Consider the following 23,402-nt stretch of genomic DNA (forward strand, 5'->3'; position numbering starts at 1 on the left):
CATTCCACTCCTTTCCATTGAATTCCAGTCCATTCTCTTCCAGTCCATTCCATTCGAGTCCATTCCATTCCTTTCCATTCGATATCATTCCATTACCCTCCATTCCATTCTGTTCTTTTCGATTCCATTCAATTCCATTCCATTCAATTCCATTCCGTTCGGTTCCACTCCATTCGAATCCATTCCATTCGCTTCATTTCCATTCCATTCCGTTCCGTTCGATTCCAGTTGGTTTTATTCCATTTTTTTCCAGTCCATTCCATTCGATTCCAATCCATTCGAATATATTCCATTCAATTCCATTGCACTCGATTCCACTCTGTTCCATTCCATTGCATTCCATTCTATTCCATTCCACTGTATTCCATTCCGTTCCATTTTATTACTTTCCATTTTATTCCATTTCATTCGAATAAATTACGTTTCAATTCATTATATTCGAATCCATTCTATTCCACTCCATTCTATTCCAGTCCTTTCCTTTCAATTCCATTCCAGTCAATTCCATTCCATACTATTGCATTTCATTTGATTCCATTCCATTCAAATAAATTCCATTCAGGACCACTCCTTTTGAGTCCATTCTATTTGAGTCCAGTCCATTCGAGTCCATTACATTTGCTCCCATTCCGTTCCATTTGCATTCCATTCCATTCAATGACACTCCATTCCTTTCAATTCCATTTGAGTTCATTCCGTTCGAGTCCATTACATTTGGGTCCATTCCATTCCACTCCATTCCATTCCATTCCATTTGCATTCCGTTCCATTCCATTCAATGACAGTCCATTCCGTTCAATTTCATTTGAGTCAATTTCATTCGAGTCCATCACATTTTGGTCCTTTCCATTCCATTCCAATCCATTCCAATCCATTTGCATTCCATTCCATTCCATTCAATGACAGTCAATTCCATTCAATTCCATTCGAGTCCATTCAATTCGAGTACATTCCATTCCCTTCCTTTCGATTAAATTTCATTTGATTCTATTCCAGTCAACTCCATTCCATTCCATTCCGTTCCATCCAATCCCTTTCCATTCTATTCCATTCCAATCCATTCAATTTCATTCCATACCATTCATTTCCATTCCATTTGAGTCCATTCCACTCCAGTCCATTCCATTCCAGTCAATTACATTCAAGTCCATTCCATTCAAGTCCATTCCATTCCATTTGCTATCTTTTCATTACACTCCATTCCATTCTATTTCTTTAAATTCCATTCAATTCCTTTTTATTCGATTCCATTCCATTCGATTCCATTCCATTCGACTACATTCCAATCGAGTCCATTGCATTCCGTTCCTTTCCATTCCGTTCCGTTCGATTCCAATCCATTCGATTCCTTTCTTTTGCATTCCATTCCTTTAGACTGCATTCCATTACAGTTCATTCCATTCGATTCCATTCCATTCGATTGCATTCCATTTAATTTGATGCCATTCAATTTGATTCACTTCCATTCGACTCCATTCAATTCAATTCCATTCCATCAGATTCCATTCCGATATATTCCTTTCAATTCCATTCCTTTCCATTCCATTCCATTCCATTCCACTCGTTTCCATTGCACTCAATTCTATTCCACTTCAGTCAATTCATTTGAATACATTCCATTAAAGTTCATTCCATTCGACTCCATTCCTTTCCATTCCTTTCCATCAGATTCCATTCCGTTTTCTTCATTTCTCTTCCATTCCTTTCCATTCGTTTCCATTCCATTCGAGTCCATACCACTCCAGTCCATTCCATTTGAGTCCATTCCATTCCAGTCCATTCTTTTAGAGTCCATTCCATTTCATTCCATTTGATATCGTTCCATAACACTCCATTCCATTCCATTCCTTTCGATTCCATTCAATTCCATTCCATTCGACTCTATTACATTCAATTCAATTCCATTTGATTCCATTCGATTCCATTCCATTCCCTTCCAGTCGACGACTTTCCATTCGATTCTATTCCATTTGATTCCATTCCTTTTTATTCCGATCCATCCAGTTCAATTCCATTCTATTCCTTTCCATTCCATTCCGTTTTTTTCCTTTCCAGTCGAGTCCATTCCACTGCATTCCATTCCATTCGAGTCCATTCCAATACAGTCTATTCCATTTTAGACCATTCCATTCCATTCCTTTGCATTCGATATCTTTCCATTACACTCCATTCCATTCTATTCATTTGTATTCCTTTCAATTCCATTCCATTCGTTTCCATTCCATTCGACTCCATTCCTTTCGTGTCCATTCCATTCCAACCCGTGCGATTTGATTCCTAGCCATACGATTGCATTTTGTTCCAGTCCATTCCATTCGAGTCCATTCCATTCTATTCCATTCCATTCCTTTCTATTAAATTCCAGTCTAGTCCATAACATTCGAGTCCATTCCTTTCCATACCATTCCATTCCATTCCATTCCATTCCATTTGATGCCATTGCATTCAATTCTATTCCATTCGACTCCATTCTCTTCCATTCCATTCCATCCGATTCCATTCCATTCCTTTCCTTTCCATTCGTTTCCATTTCATTTTAGTTGATTACACTGTAGTCCATTCCATTCGAGTCTATTCCTTTCCAGTACATTCTAGTCCATTCTATTCCATTCTATCCCATTGGATATCATTACATTACCCTGCCTTTCATTCTATTCCTTTCGATTCCATTCATTTCCATTCCATTCAGTTTCATTCCATTCAACTCCATTCCATACCATTCCACTCCATTCCATTCCATTCCTTTCAGTTTGGTTCCAATCCGTTCAATTCTGCTTTGTTCTAGTCCATTCCATTCGAGTACAATGCATTGCAGTCCATTCCATTCGATTCCATTCAAATCAATTCCATTCCACTTGATTGCACTCTGTTCCCTTCCATTGCATTCCATTCTATTCCATTCCACTGCAATCCATTCGATTCCATTTGATTACAATCCATTCGATTCCATTCCATTTGAATCAAATACTTTGCAATCCATTTCATTTGAGTCTTTTCTATTCCAATCCATTCCATTCCAGTCCATTCCATTCAATTCCATTACATACTATTGCTTTTCATTTGATTCCATTCTATTCGAATAAGTTCCATTTGAGACCATTTCTTTCGAGTCCATTCTGAGTCCATTCCATTCGAGTCCATTTCATTTGGGTCCATTCCATTCCATGCCATTCCATTTGATTCATTTCCATTAGAGTACATTCCATTCGAATCCATTCATTCCATTCCATTCCATTCCATGCAATTCCATTCAATTATATTACATTCGACTCCATTCCAATCCATTCTGTTCAATCCGATTCTATTCCAGTCTATTCCTTTCCATTTCATTCCATTCTGTTCCTTTCGATTCCATTTCATTCGAGTCCATTCCATTCCATTCCAAGCCATTCCATTCAATTCTATTCCACTCGCCTCCATTCCATTCGACTCAATTCCATTCCATTCCATTCGACTCCATTCCATTCCATTCCATTCCATTCCATTCCATTCCATTCCATTCTATTCGATGACATTCCATTGTATGCTATTCCCTACAACTCCATTCAATTCCATTTCGTTCCATCAGATTCCTTTCCATTATATTGCTTTCCTTTCCATTCCATTCCATTCTATTCAATTCCATTCCATTCCATTCGTTTCCATTACATTTGAGTCCATTCCATTCGATTCCATTCCATTCAAGTCCAATCCTTTTGAGTCCATTCCATTCCATTCCATTTGATATCTTTCCATTACACTCCATTCCATTCTATTCCTTTCGATTCCATTCAATTCCATTCCGTTCGATTCCATTCGATTCAATTCCATTCCATTCGACTCTATTCCTTTTGAGTCAATTCCATTCCATTCTATTCCATTCCTTTCGATTCCATTCCATTTGATTACATTTTGTTCCAGTCCATTCCTTTCGAGTCCATTCCATTTCAGTCCATTCCATTCGATTCCATTCCATTCGACTCCGTTCCATTTGATTCCATTCCACTAGATTCCACTCCATTCTGTTCCATTGCATTCCATTCTATTCCATTCCTTCGCATTGCATTCCATTCCATTTGATTACATTCCTTTCGCTTTCAAGGCATTCGAATCAGTTACATTTCTTTCCATTATATTGGAGTCCTTTCTATTGCAGTCCATTGCATTCCAGTCCATTCAATTCTGTTCCATTCCACTCGATTCCATTCCATACTGTTGCATTCCATTCGATTCCATTCTATGCAAATAAATTCCATTTCACACCATTCCTTTAGAGTCCATTCTTTCGGATTCCATTACATTCGAGTCCACTACATTTGGTTCCATTCCATTCCATTCGATGCCATTCCATTCTATTCTATTACATTCGATAACATTCCATTCCAGTCCATTCCTTTCCATTCCATTCCATTCCATTGCATTCCATTCGATGCCATTCCTTTCGATTCTATTCCATTCGTCTCCATTCCATTCAATTCCTTTCCATCCGATTCCATTCCATTCTATTCTATTCCATTCCATTCTTTTACTTTCCATTCGATTACATTTCGTTTGAGTCCAGTCCACTGCAGTCCATTCCATTCCAATTCCATTCCATTGCAGTCCATTCGAGTCCATTCTATTTCATTCCATTCCATTGGAGATCTTTACATTACACTCCGTTGCATTCTATTTCTTTCGAATCCATTCAATTCCATTCCATTCGGTTCCTTTCCTTTCGACTCCATTCCATTCCATTCCATTTCATTCCATTCGATTCAAAGACGTTCGATTCCATTTTGTTCCAGTCCATTCCATTGGAATCCATTCCATTCCATTATGTTCCATTCGATTCCAATTCATTCGATTCCATTTTGTTGCAGTCCATTCCATTCGAGTGCATTCCATTCCAGTTCACTAAATTCGATTCCAGTCCATTTGAGTCCATTCTATTCCATTCCATTACATTGGATATGTTTACTTTACACTCCCTTTCATTCTATTCCTTTTGATTGCATTCAATTACATTAATTCCCTTCCATTCCATTTGAGTCCATTCCATTCGAGTCCATTTTATTCCATTCCATTCCATGCCGTTTGATTCCAATAGGTTCGCTTCCATTTTGTTCCAGTCCATTCCATTCGAGCCCATTGCATTCGATTCCATTCCATTCGATTCCATTGCATTCGATTCTATTCCACTCGATTCCACTCTGTTCTATTCCTTTACATTCCATTCTATTCCATTCCATTGCATTCCATTCCATTCCATTTGAATATTTTCCATTCGATACCATTCCATTCAAATCAATTCCATTCCATTCCATCACATTCATGTCTGTTCTATTCCGGTCCATTCCATTCAGGTCTATTCCATTCAATGCAATTCCATTCCATTCCGTTCCATACTATTGAATTCCATTCGATTCCATTCTATTTGAATAAATTCCATTCGAGACAATTACTTTCGAGTCCATTCTATTTGTCCATTCAATTTGAGTCCATTACATTTGGGTACATTCCTTTCCACTCCATTTCATTACATTCCGTGCCATTCGATGCCATTCCATTCCATTCTATTCCATTCGACTCCATTCCATTCGAGTCAATTCCTGTCCTTTCCATTCCATTCGATGTCATTCCATTAGATTCTATTTAATTCGTCTCCATTATATTCCATTCCAATCTTTCCGATTCCATTCCATTCCATTAGTTGCAATTCCATTCCATTCCATTTCATTCCATTCGATGCCATTCCATTCAATTGTATTCCATTCGACTCCATTCCATTCCATTCATTTCCATCCGATTCCTTTCCATTCCATTCCATATCATTCCATTCCATGCCATGCCATTGCTTTCGATTTTATTCCAGTCGACTCCATTCCATTCTGTTCAGTTCCATCTGATTCCATTCCATTCTGTTCCTTTCCAATCCATTCCATTCCGTTTCATTCCATTGCATTCCATTCTTTTCCATTTCATTCGAGTCCATTACACCCCAGTGCATTCCAATCGAATCCATTCCATTCCAGTCCATTCATTTGGAGATCATTCCATTCCATTCAATATCTTTCCATTACGCTCCTTTCCATTCTATTCCTTTCGATTCAATTCAATTCAATTCCATTCAATTCAATTCCATTAGATTCCATTACATTCGATTCTATTCCATTCTATTCTATTCCACTCTATTACACTCCATTCCATTCTATTGCATTCCATTCTATTCCATTCAATTGCATTTCATTCATTTCGATTTGATTACATTCCATTCGATTGCATTCAATTCGAATCAATTACATTGCAATCCTTTACATTCGAGTATGTTCTATACCAGTGCATTGCAGTCTGGTCCATTCCATTCGATTCCATTCCATTCGATTCCATTGCATACTATTGCATTCCATTCCATACTATTGCATTCCATTCCATTCCATTCTATTCGAGTAAATTCCATTCAAGACCATTCTTTTGGAGTCCATTTTATTTGATTCCATTCCATTCGAGTCCATTACATTTGACTTCATTCCATTCCATTCCATTCCATTCCGTTTGATTCCATCTGTTCGATTCCATTTTTTTCCATTCCAATCCATTTGATTCTATTCAATTCCAGTCCATTCCATTCGATTCCATTCCATTGACTTCCATTCTATTCCGCTCCATTTCATTCCATTCCTTACCATTCCGTTGCATTCCATTCCATTCCGTTCCATTCCATTTGATTACATTCCATTCAATTCCAAGGCACTCAAATCAATTACTTTTCATTCGATTACATTTTACTCCGTTCTATTCCAGTCCATTCCATTCCAGTCCACTCCATTCGATTCTATTCCATTCAATTCCTTTAGAAACTATGGCATTCCTTTCGATTAAATTGTATTCGAATATATTCCATTCGAGACCATTCCTTTCGAGTCCATTCTATGTGAGTCCATTCCATTCAAGTTCATTACATTTGGGACCATTCCATTCCATTCCTTTCCATTCCTTTCCATTCCATTCGATGCCTTTCCATTTGATTCCATTTCATTAAGACCATTCCATTCGAATCCATTCAATTCCTTTCCATTCAATTCCATTCTTGGCCATTCCATTCGATCTGTTCTATTCGAATCCATTCCATTCCATTACAGTCCATCTGATTCCATTACATTCCATTCAATTCCTTTCCATTCCAATCCGTTCTATTCGTTTCAATTCCCTTCGATTCCATTCCACTCCAGTCCATTCCATTCGAAGCTATTCCATTTGAGTCCATTCCATTCCGTTCCATTCCATTTGATATCTTTCCATTACAGTCTGTTCCTTTCTATTCCTTTCACTTCCAATCCATTCAATTCCATTCCATTTGGTTCCATTCCAGTCGACTCCATTCCATGCGAGTCCATTCCTTTCCATTCCATTCCATTTCATTCCTTTCCTTTCGACTCCAATCCGTTCGATTCCATTTTGTTCCAGTCCATTCCATTCGAGACCATTCCAAACCAGACCAATCCATTCAATTCCATTCCGTTCAATTCCTTTCAAATCGATTCCATTTCACTCAATTCCACTGCGTTCCATTCCATTGCATTCCATTATATTCCATTCCATTGCGTGCCATTCAATTCCATTTCATTACATTCCATTCGATTCCGCTCCTTTCAAATCAATTGCATTGCAATCCATTACATTCAAGTCCGTTCTATTCCAGTCCATTCCACTCCAGTCCATTCCATTTGATTTCATTCCATTCGATTACTTTTCATACTATGGCATTCCATTCGATTCCATTCTATTTGAATAAACGCCATTGGGGACCATTCCTTTCGAATCCATTCTATTTGAGTACATTCCATTTGAGTCCATTACGTTTGGGTCCATTCCATTCCATTCCATTCCATTCCATTCCAATATATTCCATTCCATTTGTTGCTAGTCCGTTCGATTCTATTCCATTCGACACCATTCCATTCCTTTCCATTCCATCTGATTCCATTCCATTCTATTCCTTTAAATTCCATTCCATTCCATTCCACTCGACACCATTCCATTCGAGTCCATTCCATTCCATTCCATTCCACTCCATTCTGTTCCGTTCGACTCCAATCCATTCAATTCCATTTTGTTCCAGTTCATTCCATTCGATTCCATTCCATTCCAGTCCATTCCATTCAATTCCATTCCATTTGACTCCATTTCACTCGATTCCACTCCATTTCTTTCCACTTCATTCCATTCTATTCCATTCCTTTGCACTCCATTCCATTCCATTTGATTATATTTCATTTGATTCTATTACATTCAAATCAATTACATTGCAATCCATTACATCCGAGTCCTTGTTATTCCAGTCCATTCGATTCAGATCCATTCCATTCTATTCTATTCCATTCGATTTCATTTCATACTATGGCATTCCATTCGATTCCATTCGAATAAATTCCATTCGAGACCATTCCCTTCAAGTCCATTATATTTGAGTACACTCCATTCTAGTCCATTACATTTGTGTCCATTCCATTCAATTCCATTCCATTCCTTTCGATGCCATTCAATTCAATTCTATTCCACTCAAGTCCGTTCCATTTTACTCCATTCCATTCCATTCAATTGCATCCGATTCTATTCCATTCTATTCCTTTCCATTCCATTCCTTTCCATTCCATTTGAGTCCATTCCACTCCAGTCGATTCCATTTGAGTCCTTTCCCTTCCAGTCCATTCCATTAGAGTCCATTCCATTTAATTCCATTCCATTCGATATCTTTCCATTACAATCCATTCCCTTTTATTCCTTTCAATTCAATTCAATTCAATTCAATTCAATTCAATTCTATTCGATTCCAGTCCATTCCATTCCGTTGCATTCAATTACAATCCGTTCGATTCCATTTTGTTCCAGTCCATTCCCTTTGAGTACATTCCATTCCAGTTCATTCCATTCGATATCATTCCTTTCGATTCCCATCCATTCGATTCCATTCCGTTGGAGTCAATGCCATTCCATTGCATTCAATTCTATTCAATGCATTTCCATTCGATTCTATTCCATTCGACACCATTCCTTTTCTTTCCCATGCCATCTGATTCAATTCCATTCTATTCCTTTCCATTCCATTCCATTCGTTTCCATGCCATTCGAGTCCATTCCTATCCAGCCAATTCCATTCGAGTCCATTCCATTCTATTCCATTCCTTTCAGTATCTTCCATTACACTCCATTCCATTCTATTCCTTTTGATTCCATTCAATTCCATTCAATTTGATGCCAATCCATTCGATTACATTACATTCGACTCCATTCCATTCGTGACCATTCCATGTCATTCCATTCCATGCTGTTCCATTTGATTCCAATCTGATTGATTCCATTATGTTCCAGTCCACTCCATTCTAGTCCATTGCATTCCAGTCCATTCCAATTGATTCCATTGCATTCGATTCCTTTCCACTCGATTCCACTACATTCCATTCCATTGCATTCCATTCAATTCCATTCCATTGCTTTCCGTTCCATTGCATTTGATTATATTCCATTCAATTCCATTGCTTTCGAATCAATGACATTGCAGTCCATTCCATTCGAGTTCGTTCTATTCCAGTCCATTCCATTCTGGGCCATTCCATTCGATTCCATTTCTTTTAATTCCATTCCCTACTATTGCGTTTAATTCGATTCCATTCTATTTGAATAAATTCCTTTCGATACCATTCCTTTCGAGTCCATTCTATTTTAGTCCATTCCATTTGTTTCTTTTACATTTGGGTCCATTCCATTCCATTCCAATCCATTCCATTCCATTCTATTTCTTGCCATTCCATTCGATGCTGTTCCATTCAAGTCCATTCCATTTCATTCCATTCCATTCAATTTCATTGCTTTCTATTTGATGCCATTCCATTGGATTCTATTCCATTCCCCTCCATTCCAATCCATTCTGTTCCATCCGTTTCCTTTCCATTATATTGCTTTCCATTCCATTCCTTTCCATTCCATTCGAGTCCATTTCACTCTAGTCCATTCCATTCGTGTCCATTCCATTCAAGTCCAATCCTTTCGAGTCCATTCCATTCCATTCGTTATCATTCCATTACACTCCATTTCACTCTATTCCTTTTGATTCCATTCAATTCCATTCCATTCTATTCCATTCCATTCCTATCCATTCCATTCTACTTCATCCCTTTTGAGTCCATTCCTTTCTACTCCATTCCATTTGAGTCCATTCCATTCCATTCCACTCCTTTCAATTCCGAGCTGTTTGATTCCATTGTGTTCCAGTCCATTCCATTTGAGTCCATTCCATTCTAGTCCATTCCAATCGATTCCATTCAATTTGATTCCATTGCATTCGATTCCACTCCACTCGATTCCACTATGTTCCATTCCATTGCATTCCATTCTATTCCATTCCATTGCATTCCATTCCATTCTATTGCATTTGATTATATTCCATTCGATTCCATTGCTTTCGAGTCAATGACATTGCAGTCGATTCCATTCGAGTTCGTTCTATTCCAGTCCATTCCATTCTGGGCCTTTCCATTCAATTCCATTCCTTTCGATTCCATTCCCTACTATTGCATTTAATTAGATTTCATTCTAGTCGAATACATTCCTTTTGACACCATTCCTTTCGAGTCCATTCTATTTTAGTCCATTCCATTTGATTCCATTCCATTTGGTTCCATTCCATTCCATTCCATTCCATTCCATTCTATTCCTTACCATTCCATTTGATTCTGTTCCATTCGAGTCCATTCCATCCAGTCCATTTCATTCCATTCCATTCAATTTCATTGCTTTCTATTTGATGCCATTCCATTGGTTTCTATTCCATTCCACTGCATTCCATTCCATTCTGTTCCATCCGTTTCCATTCCATTATATTCCTTTTCATTCCATTCCTTTCCATTCCATTCGAGTCCATTTCACTCCAGTCCATTCCATTCGTGTCCATTCCATTCAAGTCCAATCCTTTTGAGTCCATTCCATTCGTTATCTTTCCATTACACTCCAACTCACTCTATTCCTTTTGATTCCACTCAATTCCATTCCATTCGATTCGATTCCATTCCTATCCATTCCATTCTACTTCATCCTTTTTGAGTCCATTCCTTTCTACTCCATTCCTTTTGAGTCCATTCCATTCCATTCAATTCCGCTCCTTTTGATTCTGATCGTTCGATTCCATTGTGTTCCAGTACATTCCATTCGAGTCTATTCCATTCCAGTCCATTCCAATCGATTCCATCCAATTTGATTCCATTGCATTCGATTCCATTCCACTCGATTCCACTACGTTCCATTCCATTGCATTCCATTCAATTCCATTCCATTGCATTCCATTCCATTGCATTTGATTATATTCCATTCGATTCCATTGCTTTCGAGTCAATGACATTGCAGTCCATTCCATTCGAGACCGTTCTATTCCTGTCCATTCCATTCTGGGCCTTTCCATTCGATTCCATTCGTTTCGATTCCATTCCCTACTATTGCATTTAATTAGATTTCATTCTAGTCGAATACATTCCTTTTGATACCATTCCTTTCGAGTCCATTCTATTTTAGTCCATTCCATTTGATTCCATTACATTTGGTTCCATTCCATTCCATTCCATTCCATTCCATTCCATTCCATTCTATTCCTTACCATTCCATTTGATTCTGTTCCATTCGAGTCCATTCCATCCATTCCATTTCATTCCATTCCATTCAATTTCATTGCTTTCTATTTGATGCCATTCCATTGGATTCTATTCCATTCCACTCCATTCCATTCCATTCTGTTCCATCCGTTTCCATTCCATTATATTCCTTTCCATTCCATTCGAGTCCATTTCACTCCAGTTCATTCCATTCGTGTCCATTCCATTCAAGTCCAATCCTTTTGAGTCCATTCCATTCCATTCCATTCGTTATCTTTCCATTACACTCCAATTCACTCTATTCCTTTTGATTCCACTCAATTCCATTCCATTCGATTCGATTCCATTCCTATCCATTCCATTCTACTTCATCCTTTTTGAGTCCATTCCTTTCTACTCCATTCCTTTTGAGTCCATTCCATTCCATTCAATTCCGCTCCTTTTGATTCTGATCCGTTCGATTCCATTGTGTTCCAGTACATTCCATTCGAGTCTATTCCATTCCAGTCCATTCCAATCGATTCCATTCAATTTGATTCCATTGCATTCGATTCCATTCCACTCAATTCCACTACGTTCCATTCCATTGCATTCCATTCAATTCCATTCCATTGCATTCCATTCCATTGCATTTGATTATATTGCATTTGATTCCATTGCTTTTGAATCAATGACATTGCAGTCCATTCCATTCGAGACCATTCTATTCCTGCCCATTCCATTCTGGGCCATTCCATTCGATTCCATTCCCTACTATTGCATTTAATTCGATTCCTTTCTATTCGAATAAATTCCTTTCGATACCCTTCCTTTCGAGTCCATTCTATTTTAGGTCATTCCATTTGATTCCATTACATTTGGTTCCATTCCATTCCATTCCACTCCATTGCATTCCATTCTATTCCTTGCCATTCCATTCGATTCTGTTCCATTCGAGTCCATTCCATTCCAGTCCATTTCATTCCATTCCATTCCATTGCATTCCATTCCATTCCATTGCTTTCTATTCGATGCAATTCCATTGGATTCTATTCCATTCCACTCCATTCTATTCCATTCTGTTCCATCCGTTTCCATTCCATTATATTCCTGTCCATTCCATTCCTTTCCTTTCCATTCGAGTCCCTTTCACACCAGTCCATTCCATTCATGTCCATTCCATTCCAGTCCAATCCTTTTGAGTCCATTCCATTCCATTCCATCCATTATCTTTCCATTAAACTCCATTTCATTCTATTCTTTTTGATTCCATTCAATTCCATTCCATTCGATTCCATTCCATTCGGATCCATTCCATTCTACTTCATCCCTTTCAAGTCCATTCCTTTCTACTCCATTCCATTTAAGTCCATTCCCTTCCATTGCATTCAATTCCGCTCCTTTCGATTCCGATCCGTTCAATTCCATTGTGTTCCAGTCCATTCCATTTGAGTCCTTTCCATTCCAGTCCATTCCATTCGATTCCTTTCCATCTGGTTCCATTCCATTTGATACCATTCCACTCGATTCCACTCAGTTCCATTCCATTGCATTCCATTCTATTCCATTCCACTGCATTCCATTCCATTACATTTGATTCCAATCCATTCAATTCAATTCCGTTTTAAATTATTACTTTGCAATCCATTACATACGAGTCTGCTCTATTCCAATCCATTCCATTCTGTTCCATTCCGTTCGATTCCATTCCATTCTATTCCATTCAATACTCCTGCACTCCATTCGATTCAATTCTATTCGAATGAATTCCATTCAAACCCGTTCCATTTATTAAATTCCATTTGAGTCCATTACATTTGGGTCCATTCGATGAAATGCCATTCCATTCCATTCAATTCAATGCCATTCCATTCGACTGTATTCCATGAGAATCCATTCCATTCGAGTCCATTCCATTCCATTACATTTCATTCTATTCCATTTGATGCCATTCCATTCGATTGTATTCCATTCGACACCATACCATTCGATTCTATTCCATTGGACTCCATTACTTTCCATTCCATTCCATCCGATTCCACTCCATTATATTCCTTTCCACTCCATTTCATTCCTTTCCATTCCATTTGAGTCCATTCTACTCCAGTCCATTCCATTTGAGTCCATTCCACTCCAGTCAATTCCATTCGAGTCCATTCCTTTCCATTCCCATCCATTCGAGTCCATTCCATTCCCTTCCATTCCATTCGATATCTTTCCATTACACTCCAATCCATTCAATTCCATTCCGTTCGTTTCCATTCCACCTGATTCCACTTCGTTCCATTCCGTTGCATTCCATTCTGTTACATTCCATTGCATTCCATTCAATTCCATTTTATTACATTTCATTCGATTCCATTCCATTCGAATCAATTCCATGGCAATCTATTACATTCGCGTCCATTCTTTTCCAGTCCATTGCATTCCATTCCTTTCTATTCCATTTGATTACATTCCATTCGATTCCATTCCATTAGAATCATCCATCACAATCCATTACACTCGAGTTCTTTCTATTCCAGTCCATTCCATTTCTGTCCATTCCATTCCATTCCATTCCATACTTTTGCTTTCCATTCGATTTTATTCTATTCAAATAAATTCCTTTCTAGACCATTCCTTTTGAGTCCATTCTATTTGAGTCAATTCCATTCCAGTCCATTACATTTGGGTCCATTCCATTCCCTTATATTTCATTCCACTCCATTCGATTGGATGCCATTCCATTCTACTCAATTCCATTTGTGTCCATTCCATTCAAGTCCATTCGAATCCATTCCCTTCCATTCGATGCCATTCCATTCGATTCTATTCCATTGCATTCCATTCCGTTCCATCTGATTCCATTCCAGTCTATTCCATTCCATTCCATTCCATTCCATTCCATTTCACTCGTTTCCATTCCATTCGAGTCCATTGCACTCCAGTCCAATCCGTGCTACTCCAATCCATTCCAGTCCATTCCATTGCATTCCATTCCATTCCTTTCCATTCCATTGAATATCTTTCCAATATATTCCATTCCATTCTAATCTTTTCGATCCCATTCAATTCCATTACATTCGGTTCCATTTCTTTCGACTCCATTCCATCCGAGTCCATTGCATTCCCTTCCATTCCATTCCAGTTTTGTTCCATTCCAATCCGATTGATTCCATTTTATGCCAGTCCACTCCATTCGAGTACATTCCATTCGAGTACATTCCATTCGATTCCATTCCATTCGATTCCTTTCCACTCGATTCCAGTACGTTCCATTCCATTGCATTCCATTCTATTCCATTCCATTGCATTCCATTCCATTCCATTTGATTACATTCCATTCGATTCCATTCCACTTGATTCCATTCCATACTATTGCATTCCTTTTGATTTCATTCTATACAAATAAATTAAATTCGAGACCATTCCATTTGAGTCCATTGTGTTTGAGTCCATACCATTTGAATCCATTACATTTGGGTCCATTCCATTCAATGCCATTCCATTCTATTCTATTCCATTCGAGTCCATTCCATTCGAGTCCAATCCATTCCATTCAATTCCATTGAATTCCATTCCATTCCATTTTTTGCCATTCCATTCGATTCAATTCCATTCTAAAACATTCCATTCCTTTCCGTTCCATCCTATTTCATTCCATTCTATTCCATTCCATTCCATTCGTTTCCATTCCTTTCGAGTCCATTCCTCTCCAGTCGATTCCATTCGAGTCCATTCTACTCTAGTCCATTCCATTCAAGTACATTCCATTCCAACCCATTCCATTCGAGTCCATTCTATTCCAGTCCAATCCATTTGATATCTTTCCATTACACTCCATTCCATTCTATTCCTTTCTATTCTATTCAATTCCATTACACTCGGTTCCATTCCATTCGATTCCATTCCATTTGATTCCATTAATCTCGAGTCGTTTACATTCCATTCCTTTCTGTGCGATTCCAATATCTTCTATTTCAATTTGTTCTGGTCTATTCCATTCGACTCCATTCCATTCTATTCTGTTCCATTCCATTTTATTCCATTCGATTCTATTCCACTCGATTCCACTCTATTCCACTCCATTGCATTCCATTCTATTCCATTCCATTTCATTCCATTTCATTCCATTTCATTCTGTTCCATTCAATTCAATTCCATTCTAATCAATTACATTGAAATCCATTATATTCGAGTCCGATCTAATCCAGTCCATTCCATTCCGGTCCATTTCATTTGATTCCTTTCCGTTTGATTCCTTTCCATACTATTGCATTCCATTCGATTCCATTCCGTTTGATTCCCTCCCATACTATTGCATTCCATTCGATTACATTGTATTCAAATAAATTCCATTCGAGACCATTTCTTCTGAGTTCATTCTATTTGAGTCCATTCCATTTGAGTCCATTACATTTTGTTGCATTCCATTCCAATCTATTCCATTCCATTCGATGCCATTCCATTCTTTTCTGTTCCATTCGTGTCCATTCTTTACAAGTCCATTCCATTCCTTTCCATTTCATTCATTTCCATTCCATTCCGTTCCATTCCATGCCATTCCATTCTAGTAAATTCCATTCCATTCCGTTCTATCCGATTCCATTAATTCCAAACAATTTGATGCCATTCCATTCGATTCTGTTCCATTTGATTCCATTCCATTCCATTCCATTCCGTCCGATTCCATTCCATTCTATTCCTTTACAATATGTTCCTTTCCATTCTATTCGTTTCCATTCCATTATAGTCCATTCCACTGCAGTCCAATCCGTTCGATTCCATTTGATTCGACTCCATTCCTTTCGAGACCATTCAGTTCGATTCCTTTGCATTACATTCCATTCCTTTCCATTTGATGAAATTCCATTTGATTCTATTCCATGTCACTCCATTCCATTCCATTCCGTTCCATCCAATTCCAGTCCATTCAATTCCATTCCATTCCAATCCATTCCATTCCATTCCATTGGTTTCCATTCCATTCAAGTCCATTCCACTCCGTTCCACTCCACTCGATTCCATTCCTTTCAACTCCATTGTGTTCGAGTTCTTTCCATTCCATTCCATCCCTTTCTGTTCCGTTTGATTCCAATCCATTCCATTCCATTTTGTTCCAGTCAATTCCATTCGAGTCCATGCCATTCGATTCCATTTTATTCAATTCCATTCCATTCGATTCCATTAGACTCGATTCCACTCCATTCCATTCCATTGCATTCCATTCTATTCCATTCCATTGCATTCCATTCCTATCCATTTGGTTATATTCCATTCAATTCCATTCCATTCGAATCAATTACTTTGCAATCCATTACATTCGAGTCTGTTCTATTCCATTCCATTCCATTCCAATCCATTCTATTCGATTCCATTCCATTCGATTCCATTCCATACTATTGCATTCCAATCCATTCCATTCGATTGGAATAAATTCCTTTCGAGACCATTCCTTTCGAGTCCATTCCATTTGATTCTGTTCCTTTTGAGTCCATTATATTTGGGTCCATTCTATTCCTTTCATTTCCATTCCATTCTATGCCGTTCCATTCAATTCTATTCCATTTGTGTCCATTCCATTCGAGACCATTCCGTTCCATTCCATTCCATTCCATTCGATGCCATTCCATTCGGCTCTATTCCATTCAACTCAATTCCATTCCATTCCATTCCATCAGATTCCATTCCATTGTATTCATTCCGTTCCATTCAATTCCATTCCATTCATTTCCATTCCATTTGAGTCCATTCCATTCCAGTCAATTCCTTTTGAGTCCATTACAAGTCATTCCAATTGACATCTTTCCATTATATTCCCTTCAATTCTATTCCTTTCAATTCCGTTCCATTCGATTCCATTGCATTCGACTCCATTCCATTCAAGTCCAGTCCATTCTGTTCCGTTACTTCCATTCTGTTCGATTCAAAATCGTTTGATTCCATTTTGTTCCAGTCCATTCCATTCGAGTCCATTCCATTCGAGTCCATTCCATTGAAGTCCATTCCATTCGATTCCATTCCATTTGATTCCATTCCATTCGATTCCATTCCACTTGATTCCACTCCGTTCCTTTCTATTGCATTCCATTCTATTCCATTCCTTTGCATTCCATTCCATTACATACTATTGCATTCCATTGGATTCCATTTTATTCGAATAAATACAATTCGAGACCATTCCTTTTGAGTTCATTATTGTTGAGTCCATTCCGTTCAAGTCCGTTTCATTTGGGTCCATGCCATTCCATTCCATACCATTCCATTCGATGCCATTCCATTCCATTCTTTTCCATTCGAGTCCATTGCGTTCCATTCCATTCCATTCCATTCCGTTCCATACCATTTGATGCCATTCCATTCGACTCTATTCCATTCGACTCCATTCCTTTCCATCGCATTCCATCCGATTCCATTCCATTCAAATCAATTACATTGCAATCCACTACATTCAAATCCGTTCCATTCCATTCCATTCCATTCCAGTTCATTTCATTCAATTTCATTCCATTCGATTCCATTCCATACTATTTATTCTATTTGATTCCATTCTATTCAAATAAATTCCATTCGAGACCCTTCCTTTCGAGTCCATTCTATTTGGGTCCATTCCATTTGAGTCCATTACATTTGGATCCATTCAATTCCTCTCCATTTCACTCCATTCCTTTCCATTCGATGCCATTCCATTCTATTCTATTCCATTCGAGTCCATTCCATTCCATTCCATTCCATTCGATGCCATTCCATTCAATTCTGTTTCTTTTGACTCCGTTCCATTCGACTCCTTTCCATTCCATTACTTTCTATTCCTTTCCTTTTCATTTCATTCCATTCCATTCCATTCCATTCCATTCCATTCGTTTCCATTCCATTCGAGTCTATTCCACTCCAGTCCATTACATTGGAGTCCATTACATTCCAGTCGATCCATTCGAGTCCATTCCATTCCATTCAATATCTTTCCATTACACCCCAATCCATTATTTTCTTTTCAATTCCATTCAATTGGATTCCATTCGTTTCCATTCCATTCAATTCCATTCCATTCGAATCCATTCCATTCGATTCCATTCCATTCCTTTCCATTGTATTTCATTCCATTCGTTTCCAATTCGTTCGATTCCATTTTGTTCCATTCCATTCTATTCCATTCCATTTGATTCTACTCCATTCCATTCCATTCCGCTCAATTCCACTCCGTTCCATTCAATTGCATTGCATTCCATTACATTCCATTTGTTTACATTCCATTCGAGTCCATTCCATTCGAATCAATTACATTGCAATCCATTACATTTGCGTCCGTTCTATTCCAGTCCATTCCATTCCATTTCATTCCATTTGATTCCATTCCATACTACTACATTGCTTTCTATTCCAGTCTATTCGAATATATTCCATTCGAAACCAATTCTTTCGAGTACATTCTATTTAAGTCCATTCTATTCGAGTCCAGTGCATTTGGGTCCATTACTTTCCATTCTGTTCAATTCCATTTCATTCCATTCCATTCCATTCCATTCCATTTGATTCTGTTCCATTCGAGTCCATTCCCTTCGAGTCCATTCTATTCCATTCCATTCCATTTGATGCCATTCCATTCATTTCTATTCCATTCGACTCCATTCCATTCCATTCCGTTCTATCCAATTCCATTCCATTCTATTCCTTTCCCTTCCATGCCATTTCATTCCATTCCATTCATTTCCATTCCATTCGAGTCCATTCCCCTCCAGTCCATTACATTCCACTCCATTCGTCTCCAGTCCATTCCATTCCAGTCAATTCCATTCCAGTCCTTTACATTCGAGATAATTCCATTCCATTCCATTCCATTCCTTTCCATTACACTCCATTTCTTTCTATTCCTTTCGATTCCATTCACTTCCATTCCATTCGATTCCATTCGATTCCATTCCATCCATCTCCATTCAATTTGACTCCATTTCTTTCCATCCTATTCCATTCCATTCCATTCGATTCCAAACCGTTAGATTCCATTTTGATCCAGTCCATTCCATTCGAGTCCATGGCATTCCGGTCCATTCCATTCGATTCCATTGCATTCAATTCCATTCCACTCGATTCCACTCCTTTCCATTCCATTGCATTCCATTCTATTCCATTTTATTGGATTCCATTTAATTCCAATTGATTATATTCCAATTTATTCCCTTCCATTTGAAAGAATTATATTGCAATCCATTATTTTCGAGTCCATTTTATTCCAGTCCACTCCATTCCGATGCATTCCTTTTGATTCCATTCCATTCGATTCCATTCCATACTACTGCATTCCATTTGATTCCATGCTATTCGAATATATTCCATTCGAGACAATTTCTTTCAAGTCCATTCTCTTTGAGTCCATTCCATTCGAGTCCATTACATTTGGATATATTCCATTCCATTCCATTCCATTCGATGCCTTTCCATTGAAGACCATTCCATTCGAGTCTAGTTCATTCAAATCCATTCCATTCCATTCAATGCCATTCAGTTCGATTCTATTCCATTCGTCTCCATTCCATTCCACTCCGTTCCAACCGATTCCACTCCATTCTCTTCCTTTACATTCCATTCCATTCCATTCTTTTCCTTTCCATTCGAGTCCATTCCACTACAGTCTATTCCATTCAAGTCCATTCCATTCGAATCCATTCCATTCAATTCCATTCCCTTCAATTCCATTCCACTCGATTCCACTCCATTCCATTCCAATGCGTTCCATTTCATTCCTTTCCATTCGTTTCCATTCCATTCGCGTCCATTCCACTCCTGTCCATTCCCTTTGAGTCCATTCAATTCCAGTCCATTCCATTTGAGTCCATTCTATTCTGTTCCATTCTAAATCTATCCATTACCCTCCCTCCCTTTCTATTCCTTTTGATGCCATTGAATTCCATTCTAATAGATTCCGTTCCATTCAATTCCGTTCCATTCGTGTCCCTTCCATTTGAGTCAAATTCATTCCATTCTGTTCCATTCAATTCGATTCCAATCCGTTCGTTTCCATTTTGTTCCAGTCCTTTCCAGTCGAGTACATTCCATTCCAGTCCATTCTAATTGATTCCATTCCATTCGATTCCATTCCACTCGATTCCACTCTGTTCCATTCCATTGTCTTCCATTCTATTCCATTCTATTGCATTCCATTCCATTCCATTTGAATTCATTCAATTTGATTCCATTCCATTCGAATTAATTACATTGCAATCCATTTCATTCGAGTACGTTCGATTCCAGTCCATTCCATTCTGGTCCATTCCATTCGATTTCATTCCATACTATTGCATTCCATTCGATTCCATTCTATTTGAATAAATTCCATTCGAGGCCATTCCTTTTTCTTCCATTCTATTTGAGTCCATTCCATTAGATTCCATTCCATTCCTTTCCATTCCATTCAGTATCTTTCCATTACACTCCATTCCATACTATTCATTTTGATTCCATTCAATTCCATTCCATTTGGTTCTTTTCCATTCGATTCCATTCCTTTCGACTCCATTCCATTCGAGACCTTTCCATTCCATTCCATTCCATTCCATTTCTTTCCATTCCAATATGTTTGATTCCATTTTGATCCAGTCCATTCCATTCGAGTCCATTCCATTCCAGTCCATTCCATTCCAATTATTTCCATTCCAATATGATTGATTCCACTTTGATCCAGTCCATTCCATTCGAGTCCATTCCTTTCCAGTCCATTCCATTGAATGCCATTCCATTCGATTCCATTCCATTCAATTCCATTCCACACGATTCCACTCCGTTCCATTCTATTGCGTCCCATTCTATTCCATTCCAGGGCATTCCATTCCATTCCATTTGATTATATTCCATTCAATTCCATTCAAGTCGAATAAATTACATTGCAACCTATTACATTCGAGTCCACTCTATTCCAGTTCATTCTATTCCAGTGCTTTCCATTCTATTCCATTACATTTGATGACATTCCATACTTTTGCATTCCATTCGATTCCATTCTATTCAAATAAATTCCATTCGAGACCATTCCTTTTGAGTCCATTCTATTTGAGTCCATTGCATTAGAGTCCATTATATTTGGGTCCATTCCATTTTATTCCATTCCATTCCCTTCCATTCCAGTCGAAGCCATTCCATTCGATTCTATGCCATTCGAGTCCATTTCATTCCAGTCCATTCTATTCGAGTCAATACCATTCCATTCCATTCCGTTTGATATCTTTCCATTACCCTAAATTCCCTTCTATTCCTTTTGACTCCATTCAATTCCAATCCATTCTATTCCATTCCATTTGATTCCATTCCACTCGATTCCAATCCATTTGTGTCCATTCCATTGCATTCCATTCCATTCCATTTGATTATATTCCATTCGATTACATTCCATTCGAAGCAAATACATTACAATCCATTACATTCGAGTCCGTTCTATTCCAGTCCATTCCATTCCGATCCATTCCTTTCGATTCCGTTCAATTCAATTCCATTGCATACTATTGCATTCCTTTCGATTCCATTCTATTTGAATAAATTCCAATCGCGACCAATCCCTTCAAATCCATTCTATTTGAATCCAGTCCATTCGAGTCCATTACATTTCGGTCCATTCTATTCCATTGCATTCCATTTGATGCCCTTCAATTTGATTCTATTCCATTCGATTCCATTACATTCGCATCCATTCCATTTCATTCCATTCCATTCCAATCCATTTGATGCCATCTAATTGGATTCCATTCCATTCGACTCCATTCAATTCTATTCCATTCCATCTGATTCCATTCCATTCTATTCCTTTCCATTCCATTTCATTCTATTGCATTCTATTCGTTTCCATTTCATTCGAAACCATTCCTCTCCAGTACATTCCATTCGAGACCATTCCATTCCAGTCCATTCCATTGGATTCCATTCCTTTCCCTTCCATTCTATTCCATTCCATTCCATTCAGTATATTTCCATTAAACTCCATACCATTCTATTCCTTTTGAAAACATTAAATTCCATTCCCTTTGATTCCATTCCATTTGATTCATTTAAATTCAATTTCATTTCATTCGATTCCTTTCCACTTGATTCCACTATGTTCCATTCCATTGCATTCCCGTCTATGCCATTCCATTGCATTCCGTTCCATTCCATTTTATTACAATCCATTCAATACCATTCCTTTTGATACAATTACATTACAATCCATTATATTCCAGTTCGTTCTATTCCAGTTCATTCAATTCGTTTCCATTCCATACTGTTGCATTCCATTTGATTACATTCTATCAGATTAAATTCAATTTGAGACCAATCTTTTCGAGTCCATTCTATTTTAGTCCATTCCATAAAATTGCATTCCATTCCATTTGATGCCATTCCATTCGATTCTATTCCATTCGACTCCATTCCGTTCCATCCAATTCCACTCCATTCTATTACTTTCCATTCCATTCCATAGCATTCCATTCCCTTTACATTCCTTTCGTTTCCATTCCATTCGAGTCCATTCCACTGCAGTCCATTCCATTCGAGTACATTCGATTCCAGTCCATTCTATTTGATTCTGTTCCATTGCAGTCCATGGAAAGGAATAGAATGTAATGGAATCGGATGAAACATAATGGAATGGAATGGGGTCGAATGGAATAGAATAGAATGGAATGGCATCGAATCGATCACAATGTCATCGAATGGAATGAAATGGAATGGACTCGAACGGAATGGACTCTAATGGAACAGAATCGAATGGAATGGCATCGAATGGAATCGAATGTAATAGAATGGAATGGAATGGTCCCAAAAGTAATGGATGCGATTGGAATGGACTAAAATAGAAGGGACTAGAAAAGAATG

General features: G+C 38.1%; 10 annotated features.

Moving 5' to 3' along the window:
• Positions 3,216–3,922: an enhancer, noted in NCBI's record as "OCT4-NANOG-H3K27ac hESC enhancer chr10:39093648-39094354 (GRCh37/hg19 assembly coordinates)". NCBI's record gives its function as "activates a minimal SCP1, AML or CMV promoter by ChIP-STARR-seq in primed H9 embryonic stem cells {active_cell/tissue: H9 hESC(primed)}" and the evidence as "EXISTENCE:reporter gene assay evidence [ECO:0000049][PMID:30033119]".
• Positions 3,923–4,627: an enhancer, noted in NCBI's record as "OCT4-NANOG-H3K27ac hESC enhancer chr10:39094355-39095059 (GRCh37/hg19 assembly coordinates)". NCBI's record gives its function as "activates a minimal SCP1, AML or CMV promoter by ChIP-STARR-seq in primed H9 embryonic stem cells {active_cell/tissue: H9 hESC(primed)}" and the evidence as "EXISTENCE:reporter gene assay evidence [ECO:0000049][PMID:30033119]".
• Positions 14,623–15,546: an enhancer, noted in NCBI's record as "OCT4-NANOG hESC enhancer chr10:39105055-39105978 (GRCh37/hg19 assembly coordinates)". NCBI's record gives its function as "activates a minimal SCP1, AML or CMV promoter by ChIP-STARR-seq in naive H9 embryonic stem cells {active_cell/tissue: H9 hESC(naive)}" and the evidence as "EXISTENCE:reporter gene assay evidence [ECO:0000049][PMID:30033119]".
• Positions 15,558–16,174: an enhancer, noted in NCBI's record as "OCT4-NANOG hESC enhancer chr10:39105990-39106606 (GRCh37/hg19 assembly coordinates)". NCBI's record gives its function as "activates a minimal SCP1, AML or CMV promoter by ChIP-STARR-seq in naive H9 embryonic stem cells {active_cell/tissue: H9 hESC(naive)}" and the evidence as "EXISTENCE:reporter gene assay evidence [ECO:0000049][PMID:30033119]".
• Positions 16,269–17,242: an enhancer, noted in NCBI's record as "OCT4-NANOG-H3K27ac hESC enhancer chr10:39106701-39107674 (GRCh37/hg19 assembly coordinates)". NCBI's record gives its function as "activates a minimal SCP1, AML or CMV promoter by ChIP-STARR-seq in naive and primed H9 embryonic stem cells {active_cell/tissue: H9 hESC(naive and primed)}" and the evidence as "EXISTENCE:reporter gene assay evidence [ECO:0000049][PMID:30033119]".
• Positions 17,243–18,216: an enhancer, noted in NCBI's record as "OCT4-NANOG-H3K27ac hESC enhancer chr10:39107675-39108648 (GRCh37/hg19 assembly coordinates)". NCBI's record gives its function as "activates a minimal SCP1, AML or CMV promoter by ChIP-STARR-seq in naive and primed H9 embryonic stem cells {active_cell/tissue: H9 hESC(naive and primed)}" and the evidence as "EXISTENCE:reporter gene assay evidence [ECO:0000049][PMID:30033119]".
• Positions 18,217–19,190: an enhancer, noted in NCBI's record as "OCT4-NANOG-H3K27ac hESC enhancer chr10:39108649-39109622 (GRCh37/hg19 assembly coordinates)". NCBI's record gives its function as "activates a minimal SCP1, AML or CMV promoter by ChIP-STARR-seq in naive H9 embryonic stem cells {active_cell/tissue: H9 hESC(naive)}" and the evidence as "EXISTENCE:reporter gene assay evidence [ECO:0000049][PMID:30033119]".
• Positions 19,191–20,162: an enhancer, noted in NCBI's record as "OCT4-NANOG-H3K27ac-H3K4me1 hESC enhancer chr10:39109623-39110594 (GRCh37/hg19 assembly coordinates)". NCBI's record gives its function as "activates a minimal SCP1, AML or CMV promoter by ChIP-STARR-seq in naive H9 embryonic stem cells {active_cell/tissue: H9 hESC(naive)}" and the evidence as "EXISTENCE:reporter gene assay evidence [ECO:0000049][PMID:30033119]".
• Positions 20,163–21,136: an enhancer, noted in NCBI's record as "OCT4-NANOG-H3K27ac-H3K4me1 hESC enhancer chr10:39110595-39111568 (GRCh37/hg19 assembly coordinates)". NCBI's record gives its function as "activates a minimal SCP1, AML or CMV promoter by ChIP-STARR-seq in naive H9 embryonic stem cells {active_cell/tissue: H9 hESC(naive)}" and the evidence as "EXISTENCE:reporter gene assay evidence [ECO:0000049][PMID:30033119]".
• Positions 21,137–22,109: an enhancer, noted in NCBI's record as "OCT4-NANOG-H3K27ac-H3K4me1 hESC enhancer chr10:39111569-39112541 (GRCh37/hg19 assembly coordinates)". NCBI's record gives its function as "activates a minimal SCP1, AML or CMV promoter by ChIP-STARR-seq in naive H9 embryonic stem cells {active_cell/tissue: H9 hESC(naive)}" and the evidence as "EXISTENCE:reporter gene assay evidence [ECO:0000049][PMID:30033119]".

Source organism: Homo sapiens, chromosome 10 (assembly GCF_000001405.40).
Source record: "Homo sapiens chromosome 10, GRCh38.p14 Primary Assembly".
Taxonomy (NCBI): Eukaryota; Metazoa; Chordata; class Mammalia; order Primates; family Hominidae; genus Homo; species Homo sapiens.